Source organism: Homo sapiens, chromosome 8 (genome assembly GCF_000001405.40).
Source record: "Homo sapiens chromosome 8, GRCh38.p14 Primary Assembly".
NCBI lineage: Eukaryota > Metazoa > Chordata > Mammalia > Primates > Hominidae > Homo > Homo sapiens.
Window position 1 is genome coordinate 48512671 of NC_000008.11, and position 13794 is coordinate 48526464.

Here is a 13794-nt window from a genome sequence, read left to right on the forward strand (position 1 = left end):
TCATCCCCAAAGAACCATCATCATGATCTCTAGCTTTGATCTGGACAAATTTCAACCTTGAATCTTGGTAGAATCAAACCAAAGTTGGGAAAGGAACAGGGGTGCAGAAAGAAAACATTTCTACTTGCTTTACCTTCCCACTTTCATGATACAGACTGTAATTACAACTGGGAAGGTTATTAGTAAATATCATTTGGTGATACTTAGTATATTTTGTTATTGCTCCTTAGAGGCCCAACTGTAATACTCTGCAATACATTCTTGTTGGCTCATTGGGATTTCATTTTTTTCCTACTACTTGTATATGGATAAGAACCTAAATCAAAGCATAGAAAAGTCAGATGGGCTGTTTTGAAATCCATGTAGTTAGAAATTCCTTTATTCTCAAAATGAAGACTTTTCTAGATCATTGGTTAATAGAGATAGGGCCTTTGAGTATTTTGAACAGTTTGAAGAAAATCAGCTGTATAAATTTAGTTTCCCCCAACAAAACAGATTTGCTCGGTTTTCCATATAAATCCATTCCCACAAGAGCTAATTTCTTGTTTCTCCACGGTACCAGAAATTGTGCTATAGATAAAATCAAAATGAGATTTTTATCCTTTCAGTTGTTGTTCAGTATACATGTGTTCAAGGGTTTTCTAAAAATAAAGCTCCTTGAATCCATGCACATACTTTTATGTCTGGAGAGTGGAGCCAGTGTTTAGCAGTATTTGGTCTGTAGGAGAGGAGGCAGGTATCACCTTCATGTCACCTTCAAGTGGCTGTAATATGCTTGTGAAAACTCACCTGCCATCAGATGGCAAGTACAAGGCAAAACGCCAGCATCATTGTAGGCCTCTTTGGGGTTCTAAGAAACAATACAGGGTACATTTAAGACAGACGCCTAAAATACTGGTATGTTCTTCTCAGGAAGTTATAAGAATCTGTAAAGTCTCAGTACACTGATTAAAAAATAAAACAACCCACTGTTCTGCTCTATACTTGCAGGCCTCCATGTCTCAGCTCTAAGACTAGGCCTTGTGATGCCTGCCTTCACTCAGGTCGCTCAGGCTTCTGTGACCCCCAGGTCTTTCTTCTCTTGTCAGTGAAGAACCCATCATAGCCCCAGAGCCCTGTGAGGGTAGTCCTGTGTGAATCCAGTGGCCTCCAGCATCTTTGCCTCCTTTGGCCAGGATCTTGGCCATGGCTGACATTTCCAAGCCTGCCATCTCCTGCAGTATATTCAGCACATAAGATGAGCCAGATGCGCACTATACAACACTGTTGCATAACCTGGCCTTTCCTCTGCCTGTGACCCCCGTGTCCCCACCATGAGGTCCTGGAGTTGGTTCAATTAATTGTAGACAGCATACTATAAATTGTATGAGATGCTCATTGGCAGACACTGTGAAGGTTTTCTTTGGGGTTGCTATTTATTTGCGTGAACATGCTGGAGGTATAAAACTGCCTGTGTGTGCACACTGTGTGAGCGAGGCCAGGGCCGCCACTCTCTGGGGCTCCTTCTGGTTCTGGATAGGTCCTTGTTGGGACTCTCAGCAAGCTCATCTGGCCCAGCCCACACAGTTCCAGTAACATGACGAGCAGCCTCCTGGCCAAATTCCTCCTGTGCCACAAGGAACAGTTACCTCCTCTCAGTACCCCACCCCCTCTTGTAAAAGTAGGTCCAGAGGCAGTTGTGTGAGGAGTGCTATAAAGAGCCTGGGTTGTATCCTGCAGGCAGCAACATCGCGGTTCAGGAAGGTATTTTATGCGGAGGATGGCTCCCTCCAGGACCAGGAGAACTGGTGGAGGGAGAGAGACCCCCAGGCAGCTGGCCCCCTGGTGAAGCCCCAAGCTTCCCCCGCCCCCGCAGACACCCGGCGCCCTTCAGTCTCAGGCGGAGCGGACCCGGGTGTCTGACTCGGGCGGGGGCGGGGTGCTGACGTCAGCCCGCGCGCATGAGCTCTGGCCAGCGGCTGGGCGGAGCCAGGTGGGCGGGGCGGCTCCTGCTCCGGGGTGCTAGCCGCTAGGCGGCTAGTGATGGATAGCTGGGCTTGAGCCCCGCCAGGCCGCCGAGTCCACCCTGGCGTCCGGGGGCTGGCAGGCCGGCCCTCCACAAACAGCGGCCTCCCGCCCAGGCCGGCCACCCGCCACCGGCCTGGTCTGCTCACGTCCCCTGGACCCGCGGGCCAGCCAAGGAGCCGCTGCCCTTGGCACCTGTTCTCCGTGCCTGCAAACAGACAAGGCCCTGCACTTTTCTCCTCACGTGTTTCAGGGACTGGTCTGTCTCCTAATTCTCCCAGCTCTGGTTCTCCCAATTAATTGCAAACAGTGTATTGAAAAAGGCATGCTGGGACTGCCGAGCAGGGTTTTCCGCGGAGGGAGGAGCGGTTCCCTGCTGGCGATGCCCGCGGAGGCCAGCCCCTCCCGGAGGCTCGGGAGGAGGGTTTTGGGGAGGAGCGCCATGCAGACGCAGCCAGGACTGAGAACGGCTTCCGGGCCTTCATTCCCACCAGCATCGCCTTCTCTCCACGCATCTGTTTTCATTTTCTTAGTATTTAAACTTGATTCCGCCCCCACCTCCGTGTCCTCCCACCACTCCCATGAAAGACAGAAGATGGATTTCATCTGTGTCCTGAAAGAGGGCAGAGAACACGCAGTGACTGGATACCCTAGGGAATGCGAAGTGCAAACTGTCGCCTGGGCTGTCTCTGGAGAAAAGTAAAGGAATGTAACAAGTTTTCATTAAGAATCCAACTGAAAGCATCATCATTTTTCCCCGCTTAAACACGCTTTACCAATGACATGTGAGACCTATGAACTAGAAGTTTCTCAGATCTATTGCCTTTTCCCCCCTTCATTTAAACTTTAACACCGATAAGCTGTGGGATCATGAGACACTCATTCCATCTCTTTGTACCTCAGTATTTGGATGTTTAGAAATGGCACAACCCTATTTACTTCACATGTTTCGTGTACATAATCCGATATACCACCCACATTGTCCTAGTATAGTTTCTAAAAGTGGGCAGCAAAAAAATTTGCACAACATTGTCAAAATGTTCTCTTTAAATTGGGTAAATGAGTGTTAGAAGACTCATTTGGGTTTTCTAACCGTCCCGGTGGCTGCCCCCGACCCCCAACATACCTGAGGTCTCCAAGTACACAGTCATGTCCCTTCCCACTCACAGTCTCACAGTTTGGGGGCAGCTGTATTTTATTTAAATACTTTTAAGCTACACTTCAAACTAAAGGGATTAAGCACTAAGGTCAAATTGGAGTCTTTCCGGTAGGGTGACAATGATTCGAACTTTCATCATTTTATATCATGGAGATTTCCTAATCTCCCCACTCCAAGAGAAGCCTACATGGAAAAAGAGTCCTTTCCCCTCTATTCCTATAAAATTCACTACTCCTCAAATTCCTATCAGATGGCCTTGTTGACTTAGGACCACTTAGCAGGAAACTTGTCCTGTGCTTACTCCTTGAGAAGAGCTTGGGTCTTGTTTCCACTGCACTGTGGGGTGGAAGGAAAAACCGTGTAGCTAGAAGCTTCTTGGCAGCAAGAAGTGGGTATCGTGGCCGGGTGGTGAGCTTCTTCCCAGAGTTGTTTCAGAAGGTATTTTACTTTTTCTTCAGAGCTACTGTAATGCCTTTGACATGGCACTTCAGTAGGACTTCAAATATTATTGGGGTTAAATCTGCTAAAAACACAAAGAGCTTTGTTATTTTCACTTGAATATACTCTTCAAAGTTTCATTTGATGAGATAAATTCTAAATTGCCTAATGCAATTACCTAATATAAACTGACAAAAAATAAAAAGGAGTGAAAAATTTCAGTTTGTGTACTTATATGATTGTATAAATATTCTAATTATTTTACCATTTAATTAGTTTTCATGGTGTGTTAGATGTTATACAGACATACACAATATAAACAACACTTGGAAAACATATGAAATGACCTATTTCACCATAGGGATTTAAAATGAAAATTAGTTTTCTTTGAATCCATTTTTGATTCATTTGAAAAGCTGTGTACCAAAGGGCACAAAAAGATAACAGAATCTAAAGTCAATCCCTCATGAAATATCTAGGTTAGCTCAGTCTCACAAATCAAACCTCATGTTCAGTGTGGCTGCTCAGTAAACCCCGTAAAAATGGAAACCAACAATGAGAATTGCCCCCCAACCACTCTCTTCTTCCTCTTCCTCCTTCTTTGTATTAAGTAATATTCAAATAATATTTGAAACCATCAGCCGCTTCTTTGGCCATGGGTAACTGGCAGGAAAGCAGAATGAACCATTTCAGAGCTAGAGAAGAAAACACTCCTTGACCCTCTTTCATTGTCATCTAAAGAAGCGAGCCATTGAAAGTATCCATGTGGTGTCAAGAGCTGCCTACCTGCAGGGCTGCTCACTGACGGCTGGGGCCCCAGGGGTCCACCCCATTCCCACCATCTTCAGAATTCCCCCGGGGCTGTGGATAATCTCTCTCCTGGCCTTCCATTGTGAACACTGGAGAGGCTAAAGTTGTTATCAATGCAGCACCTTCACTGGAACTTTGAATGGACAAGGAGAGAAGATTCAGAACCACAGGGAAAGTAAGCAATGTGAACATTCTCAATGGGAAGGCTGTTTTCAACGGGCACTGGGTGACCCTTGCATTGATAGAAGTGGGGCACAGTATGCTGTTTGTGGAGAAGAAACACTGTACCTTTATTCAGAGCTTGGAAGGTTAAGAGGCCTGAGATTTATGGAAACAAGGAGGGATTTTAAAAAGAAGAAACTTCCTCTTGCCTGGCTGCAGGTGCAGGGGCAGTGGGGCCTCTCCTCCCTAGTGGGGCGAAGAGACCTGCCTCCTGGAAGTCACTGTGAGGTAATGTTCTGGTCTGCAGAACCTCATCTGACCCTCTGTGTATTGGGATCAAGGCCCAGGGAGGAGGTGAAAGCTCCATTTGGGGAGAGCAGGCTTGCTGTCCAGAAATAGAGCTGGGATATGGAGTGGAGCATTTGAAAGGTTCTAGGATCCCAGTGGATAAGCCTTAAAGTGCTATGTTCTGGATTATAGCAGTCTCTTGAATGCTCTTCTGGGTCTCTGTGTCTCAGTTGAACTTCACAACAGTAAAAAGCTGCCTGTGATAGTGGAATCAAATAATGACTGTACCCAGAGTTGCTTGGATAAGTTAGTAAATCTCCCTGAGCTGGATTTGGTGTGAGATTGCTCAGGTTTCAACACTGGCACTAGCTCTGCAATCTTGAGTAAGGCATTGTATTAGTCCATTGTCACGCTGCTGATAAAGACATACCTGAGACTGGGAAGAAAAAGAGGTTTAATTGGACTTACAGTTCCACATGGCTGGGGAGGCCTCAGAATCACTTTGGGAGGTGAAAGGCACTTCCTATATGGCAGCAGCAAGAGAAAATGAGGAAGATGCAAAAGCGGAAACCCCCGATAAAACTGTCACATCCCGTGAGACTTGTTCACTACCACGAGAAAAATATGCGAGACACTGCCCCCATGATTCAAATAATCTCCCACCGGGTCCCTCCCACAACACTTGGGAATTATGGGAGTACAGTTCAAGATGAGATTTAGGTGGGGACACAGAGGTAAACCATATCAGGCATTCAACCCCTCTGCACCTTAATTTCTTGCCTATAACATGGACATAGTAAAGTACCTGCCTCATTTGGTGGCTGTGAGGGTTAAATGAGAAAACGCTTGTGATTTAGTTATAATTCTTGCTTGCCAACATTGTAGATGACCACTGGCTTTCCAAAGCAGGGATGAGCTTATGAGAAGGCAACCATCGCATGACTGAGGAAGTAGGTTTAACAATGAGCAAGAGCCAAAGCAGCTGGACCTTGACCATTTCTCATCCCTCATGGGTAGTCCACTGCTGCTGCAGGGGAGACTGGCCAACTGTTTCTGAAATGAAACCATTTCTTCACGAGTCAATGGCCCATCTGAATGGTAGGATGCAAGCCACCAGAGGGTGTGCTGAGGGAAAGTGGGACTCATTCCTTACCTCCACTCCTCAATAGGATGGGGATTTAGATGCTGCACTACTAGTTAATGGAAAATGTGCCCTAAGACACATAAAGTGTGTAGGATAATGCTTGGTGCGGGGCCAGCACTCCCTACAAGCCAGTTGTGACAATGATTCATTTTTACATTTCATGAGTAGTTATGACAATATCTGCCTGGAAAGGCATAATTATAGCAAAGACCTAGTCCAGTACCTGGCAAATAATACACGCCCAACATGTGCTAGCTGATGTTGTTACAATATAGTATAGATAATCAAAGTTTACAGATGCATTAAAATATTTTAGTCTGATCTGTAGCTTCAGTGCCCTTTTCCACTAATATCATTTTTAAAAATTAATATAAAAGAGCAAATTAGCCGCAGTTCCTCTCCCTGGTTTACTTTTCTACTTCGCCATCAACACCTCCTTGTGCCATCCCAGCTTTATAGGAGGGAAAACATTTGCTTAAAGCTGAGTTTTCTCTGAAAAACAAATTCTAATAAAAAATGGCCACATGACACAGAAAGTAGCATTTACTCATTTCCGTTTTATTTTCTAAATCTCAGGCAAATGCTTATTTTTAACTTAGAGCAATGTATACTGTCTTGGAAAAAATGCACATGATATAACTTCATAGATTTTTCTCAAAAGGTAGAGCTGTGTGTGTTAGTGATCCTCTTAGGTTTTATTTTATTTTTTAGTCACATCAGCATTGTGTGTAGGTCCTCTTAGATTTTAGATGAGAACAAATTAATGATTAAGGATTTCAGGTATTTAATATATGTCTTTAGCTCCCTGGGAAAAATGTAACCTGTTCCAGGCAGGGATTAGGATCTAGAGGAGAGAAAATGCATTTGGTGTGTGCTTTCCTTTCTCCCTCTGAGAGGGCCTGTGTGTTTCCATATAAGGAAACTGCACATTTGCAAGGTACGTCTGCTGCAAAATTTCCATAGTGATCTGTACTTTCTATTCCTCCTGTGCTTATTTAATGTTATTTGCATTTGTTTAGTTTCTGAATTCTCCCTTGTGGGACCCATGAGGGCAGGAGATGTTGGTATTTTGTGTGCCAGGGTACCCCAGGCCCTCCAGTGGATTCGTGCTTAGGCTTCTGAGCCAGGTGACCTGGGTGAGGTGTCACATTTGCTGCTTCCTTGCTATGTTGTGTGTGCCAGTGGCTTCACAGCTCCGAGTCTCAGTTTCTTCATATGTAAAACTGGGGTAAAAATGTCATCTACCTCATAAGGACATGAAGAATGGGAGGGAATGCCTGCAAACTACCCAGGATACTGGAAGGCCTGAAATAAATGCCAGCCAGGAGCTAGCAAGGCCCATGAGCTCAGGAAGTGCTTGGCGACTGGCTGAGTTGCAGATAGGCTGTCCAGCAGTGAATGGATCCACCTACCCCAAAGATGGAAAACTTTAGAATCATTCAAGACAAACTAAAATAGCAAGGCCATTTGCAAGAGGCCATTAGAGACACAAACCTTAAAGGCTCGGGCTTTAGGATGCATGTTGGAAGCAAAACAATGGAAAACATGAGAAGATCCTTGTGAAATGTCCAGGTTTGGAGACTGGTGTTGACTTAGAAAAGCTGACTTGGAAAGCATTTTCCACTCGGGCAGGGGTTTGTTTATAGTGCTCACCTGAAAGCAAGCCAGCAGTTCGAATGGTTTTGAATGATCCTAAACACCTTGGGGGACTTGGGAAGGGGATTTCTGCACACTGGCAGTAACATGGCACCAAAGAGGGTGAGGATCTTAAACAGAGAAAGCTGGCGCTCTTTGTGCTCCGCCCGGCACCTGCTCACTCTGGTGAGATGGCTTTCGGGTGGTGGGCGCTGCTTTTTCAAAAGGGAGTTAGGTGAAGATAAACATACAGTGAGGGAACAGACACGTTGGATTTCTGTGCACATCCCACCCCTCATCCTTTTAACAGTGTGTAACCATTTTAAGACCCTAATTAAGGTTTTACAAGTCAATGTGCTTGACTCTGAAGCTCCGGGAAAGAATGCAGCTGTCCATGGGTAAACCCAGGTCGCCACGCTCACGATTGTATTTCTCAGCTGCGGGGCCCTGCCCAGGCTTCTTTGAACACACATGCCATTTTCCATTGAAATCAAAGCTGCTGAGAGAGTTGGACTGATAGACAAGGGCCTCAGTTACACAGCTTTACCTGTGGCCAATAGCACAGTAAAGTTGCAAAGTAGAGCAGGTGGAAATTGGCTGTCTAGGCTGGACATTTCCCATGTCCATGGATCCCCTGGGCCACCTAGCTGTGCTTGTGAGCCCTGGCAACCTTGCCCATCCCTTTCACAGGTGCTTCGTGGGCTTGGTCTGCCTGAGGGTCTGGGTCTCCCATCTTCCTGTGACTTGCTCCTGTAACTGAGTATTGTTTGCCAGGTTAAATGAGATGCTTCTGCAGCTGGCTTAGTGCCAGTATTTTTCACTGTTGCCTCTGCATTGGCACTGCAAGAAGAAGTAAGCCTTGGGCTTCTGAATATCCATGCTAGAAGGGCAAAACTTGACTGACCTATGTTTATAAGTGGTCTGATGGTTAGGAATGTGCTATGGACAAGGCTTTTGGGGGAGGGAGAAGGGATGATAATACGTTGGCAACATTAAAGATGGCACCTTCATGGAACAAAATCCAGGGGGAGACCACAATATTGACCACAGTGGGCCTGACCGCAGACCACAGTCCAATAATAGACCAGTCACCACTTCCTGAACACAGTGGCTCTGTTTGCTGTGACCATGGAAAGGGGGAAGCTGGAGCAAAAGTAGGAATCTCCCAGCTTTTGCCTGTGTGGAACACTGGGGATTTGGGGGCTCTGCCCAAATTGGGCTTCAGATATTTCACGGCAGCAGCTGTTCCTGCATGGCAGAGACAACAGGAAAGCACTCTCTGGCCCACACTCTGCAGCTATAACCCAGGAAAAGAAGGGCACAGCCAGAGGACTTATAAAGAACCGTCAAATTATTTTTCCTTTGTCGTAAAAACATGTCTTCTCTGTGTTTCATTCTAATCTGAAATTAGTCTATGGAACACACTGATGCAACTCCCCATTTACACGTGGGTTATCAGGGCGCTAGGCTGCTCTTGAAGAGTCTACTCATCCATTGTAGCATAATGAAAGCATTCCTTATCTATTATCACCTAGGCACTAATTCAGTGTCTCTGTGCAATTAGATTTGGCTTCAAATGGGATTCATTTCTCAGCAGGATTACTCAGTGAATTACTTTATTGTCTCTTTGTTCCCATAGTGGGGTCCTTTCATACAAGCACAGGGGGAAATGTTGCTTCTGGGCAAATCCCAGCACAGAGGGCCAGGAAGTGACTGATGGTGTCCTCTGGGCCTTGGTTGTCAGGGCTAGTTCCTTTCCTACTGTTTGGCAGCAAAGAGTTATGAAGAAGAATCCAAAGCTGGTTGCTTTTAATTAAAGAAAATCCCAAAATATGTTGGATGTGGAAATTCATGCTCCATAGTGAGCACTTTCTTTCACTCTGAAAATCTAACCACCCCATTGGGCTCTTGAGCTCCACAGAACTTTCCTCTTCTCGTTGTAAGAAAGTGTGAGCAGCAAACATTCTTTTTCAATTGGAGACAGAGAGCATTGTTAAGAATATAACTGTGGTTCGCAAACACCTGCTCACCCTCCCACATCATGCGTGCACGTACAAGTAAATTTTTCAGCAGGTACAAGTCTATTTCCCAATTGCTTTAACAGGTAAAAACTGGCAGAATTTCCTGGCAGAACACGTACTTTAATTGTCCTTCTAGCTGATACCTGTTCTGAGTTGCTCCAAGTAGATTCATTATAAAGTCCTCTTATGACCATTCAGCTATGAAGCATTCCAGTGGACTTGCTTTGAAAGCTCAGTGGTTGCACAGACCATATAGAACGAACTGGAGAAATACAGAGTTGAAAGACGTTTCCCAACCACCCTGGGCAGAACAGGTGTATGCAAAGGTGACCCTGACTCCCAGGAGACAGTGCCTCCGGGAGCTGCAAGTCAGAGCATGCGGCAGAGTTTTCAGGAGTGAGGTGTAAAATTCCAAAGATTTGGGTTCAGTTCAGATAAGCACCCACATGTTTGGGTCTTTAGCAGAAACCTGTCTGAAATGTCTCCAACAGCCTGTTAAAACAGACTGGAAATCTTGCAGCAGCTCCATCCCTCCTGAGGTTTTTGGTACTTCCTGTAAGACTCAGCCCAGAATAGCCTTTCCATGTCTGAGCCAAAGATGGAAAAGTAATGAAACAGCCTTCTCACTTTCCATTGTTTTGTGTTAAAAGATTGTGCTTCTTGGATGGTTGTGAGCACTTTATGCGTAGATGAAGTAATAGAAACGTTCAGACATTAAGGCTCCTGTTTGGTTTCGGAAGTCTGCAGAGGCAGTGTTGGGAGAGGGTTCTCATTTCACTCAGACGGTTTACCCATAGACAGGCATTTCCCTTGAAGAGGTCATTTTTATTCTGAGGAAGGGGGAAAGTAGCAGAACTGGAGAGTGGTATTTGTTCCAGAGCTCCCAGTTTTTAGGAGGTGATGAGACGACACTGCTGACCAGTGAATCCGAGTTGGTTCCTGGAGACTGCACCAGCAGGCAGCATAGGGATGGGGCTTCCCCGTGGTGGCCCTGCAGGGCTGAGGTGGGGGCTACAGGCTGGGAGCCAGCGGGATCCCAGCTCTTCACAAACTCCTGCTAATCACAAAACAGCCACTTACTTCAGCAGAAAAACTGGCTGGTCTTTCCTCATGGGGAGGAGAGACACCACCATGGCTGGCACGTCCGTTCCCTAAGGCTCCCGCACAGAGGAGCCTCTTTTCTGGGGGGCAGGAAGGCCATGAAAATGAGACCTTCTGAATGGTGATGCCATGTCTCAGCATGTCAAGGTGCGCTTTCTCTGGATGGGAAGTGTGATAGTCTGTGCCTTGGTGATGGATACAAAACACTGTTGTTGCAAATTAGCTTTAGCTTCCCTGTAAGTCCCCTCTGGTGATGGCACATCTGATTTTCGAAATTGAAAAGGACTGGCAAACAGCTTGTTCAGCCATTTCCTGCGTTTTCCTGTTGCCCCTGTCTATAACTTACATTAATACAACCACTTGATTCCCAGTTGAGAGGCTTCTCACCCACCTCCTCTGGGGGATGCTGGCCTGGCTGCAGCGTGGGTCCCTCTGCAGCAGAGAGACTAAGGTCAACCAGGAGGCAGCTCGTAATTGTGGAGAAGTGTGATGGTATCTAAAGCCAAATGATAGAGAACATTTGGAAATATTTGAAGAACAGATCAAAGCCTGTGAATTTAATTACTCCACCCTACCTAATTAGCTGCCGCCTGGCTGTGCGGTCTTCCCTGCTGATGATTATTGATGGGCTGCTGCCCTCCGTGCTCCCTTTCCTGGGCCAGCTGCACCCCCAGGGTGGCAGGTTTTCAGAGATTTGCAGATGAGAATTAATGACAGTTTGTGGTGGGGGAGTTGGAGGCAGAATGGCCGGGAAGAGAAAGGGTTGGGGTGGTGGAGGGATACATGTTAGGGGTGGAGGCCTCCTCTGACAGGCTGCGGGCTTGGCTACACCTGTGAGCAAAAGTCATGGTGGTTCAGAACCCGGAGACACCAGATGGACCCACCGTCTCCTATCCGATATGCAAACCTTGGAGGTATAAAACGATGAGGCATCTCCAGGGAAGAACATTCTTTTGGTAGAGTTGGCTGGGGCATGGCGTGGGTTGGGTGTGGGGTGTTACAGCCTCCTAAGGTGAGGGTCTGGATGGCTGTGACCAGGGACCGTGGCTGGCTGGAATTCAGGTTGGTCCACTGTGGGGAGTGGACGCTGGGGGTCGAGGTGCCACTGCCCTGCTGACTGGACCTGGGAATTTTCCCATTTCTCCTGGGTCGGCCTGCGCTGCACAGGGCTGACCCCACCTTTGAGCAGAGGAAATGTCCCTGAGAGGTTGGCTGGCAGTGGGTTCCTCTTGTCCCTGTGGAGCTGACACCACGTGCCTTACACATGATCAGAACAAAGCATATCTTTCATCCAACCTCCATAAGAGAAATATTTTAAGAAGACATTGCATTATTCTATTTGATCGAGTCCTTAAACTTTGCAGATCAGTTTGATGAACACAAAGACTCCCATAAAATGATTCTTTTAGATTTCTTGGTCTGATGATGAAAAAGATGGAAAAAAAGTTGTTTTGTATTTGTTTCTGTGGGCACAAGTCTTCGGTAGATGGTGTATTTTAAAATGCTCACACATCCTGAACCTCTTCACTCACCTGTCTGGTGTGTCCTCAGACCCTGTCTTCTTTGAGGGCGCTGCCCTTTCTGGAAGTTTGGGTGTAGCAGATATTGACAAAGTGAGTCTGGTTGCTCAAACCTCGTGCCACAAAGCTGACTTTCCGTTCAGGATTCATTTTTTTTTGTTTGTCTCTCAAATGCTTTCCTCAGGAAATCTATTCTGGGTCACTCCTATCCAGGAACCCCACACCTTTCTTGGGGATGCATGTTATGGGCTTTATTTCAAGGTCGGGCTTTGGGTTTCTCTTCCTGCACCTGAATTACTTTCCTTATGCAGTATCTCAGGGCTCCCTTTTTTCCTTTGTATTTTATGCGTAGACTAAGCCTTAGGTCTCTGTATTTAAAACAGCTCCTCTATTTCCTATTCCTAAACTTCCTTTATTGACCACAAACTTCACAGATTATGGGACTTCAACAGGAGATGGGATTGCCCAGCCTGAGCCTCAGGGAGCTCTTGTGGAGGCTGGGTGGGGGGCAGAAAGAAGCCCCTGGGCAGATGCAGTTGGGAGCACCAAGTCCCTGAGGTGGACCGTGCACAGCCTTGCACAGCCCACCTCAGATGGACCCTACCCACGGCAGGGTTGCAGCCACACCAGCAGCTCTTCCAGAAACCCTGATCTGTCCCCTGGGGTCCTTGCTGAAACTGGCTGATTGTTTTCAAGTTGTACTACTCTTCTAAATAGCACTTTGGAAGTTCTGCATTTTATTTTCTAGAGAATTTCACTAGCCTGTCTTCTCTGCAAGAAACCCAGTCTGGGAAACCCACCAGAGTGCAGCCAGCTGGTGCATTAGTGCCAGAGGTGAGGTGAGTGCAGACCTGCCCCCTAGGTTGTCACGGGGGTGCAGGAGGGTCCTGGAAAGTGTGGAGAGAAGGCCAGCACTGTCCTCTGCCATCCCTTCCTCAACAGCACAGCTGAGTTCACGCCTACCTGTTTGGGGGAGCTGGGAGTAGTTGGTGTAGTCGGCTTTCTGGGCCTTTTCTGACCTGGCCAGTCTCAGATTTTCAGTCTCCGGATCAAAAATTGACCTGGCCCTTGGCCCTTGCCCTTTAATCCCTACACTGCCCGGGGCCCACATGCAGGGCAGCCCGGGTCTGTGGAATGCATGCCTCCATCTCGGGCTTCGTAAGCTTTGTTTGTTTACCCTGCGCACATGTGTCTGCCGCCGAAGCAGTCAGAGTGGGGGTTCTCACTTTTTCCTTTGGGTGTGTAAAAAGCACAGACATTTCATGTTTATTATTGTTGAACTTTTCTCAGCTAAGCTGAAGAAATATATCGAGATGGTTTATTCTCAGGGGACTGAGTTCAGACATTTCACGACGTACAAATAATTATCTTTAACATAAGCCACTTATTCTATGTCTTCTTTGTTTACAAAAAAATTCCCTTATTCAATGTTAATAAAACAACTAATGCACACTTTGTGAGCTCAGTGACTAATCCTGTATTCTTGACCTAATCTCACATCTTTGGTGCTAA

General features: G+C 46.6%; 1 long non-coding RNA gene across 3 annotated transcripts, besides 3 other annotated features; it reads right to left on the reverse strand.

The window, feature by feature from the left end:
• Positions 1845-2074: a silencer, noted in NCBI's record as "silent region_19182". NCBI's record gives its function as "represses an Ori minimal core promoter by ATAC-STARR-seq in GM12878 lymphoblastoid cells {active_cell/tissue: GM12878}" and the evidence as "EXISTENCE:reporter gene assay evidence [ECO:0000049][PMID:35858748]".
• Positions 2145-2254: a silencer, noted in NCBI's record as "silent region_19183". NCBI's record gives its function as "represses an Ori minimal core promoter by ATAC-STARR-seq in GM12878 lymphoblastoid cells {active_cell/tissue: GM12878}" and the evidence as "EXISTENCE:reporter gene assay evidence [ECO:0000049][PMID:35858748]".
• Positions 2445-2524: an enhancer, noted in NCBI's record as "active region_27332". NCBI's record gives its function as "activates an Ori minimal core promoter by ATAC-STARR-seq in GM12878 lymphoblastoid cells {active_cell/tissue: GM12878}" and the evidence as "EXISTENCE:reporter gene assay evidence [ECO:0000049][PMID:35858748]".
• LINC02947 (long intergenic non-protein coding RNA 2947) lies at positions 3182-5412 on the reverse strand. Of its 3 annotated transcripts, none has more exons than NR_183463.1 (3): positions 5330-5412; positions 4388-4544; positions 3182-3683 (listed from the first exon to the last, which is right to left on the reverse strand). It is a non-coding gene; the product is annotated as a long intergenic non-protein coding RNA 2947 (long non-coding RNA). The 3 variants fall into 3 exon arrangements; NR_183462.1 differs by having other exon boundaries at positions 3182-3686; NR_183464.1 differs by lacking the exon at positions 4388-4544 and having other exon boundaries at positions 3182-3686.
• Positions 5413-13794: the final 8382 nt, after the last annotated feature.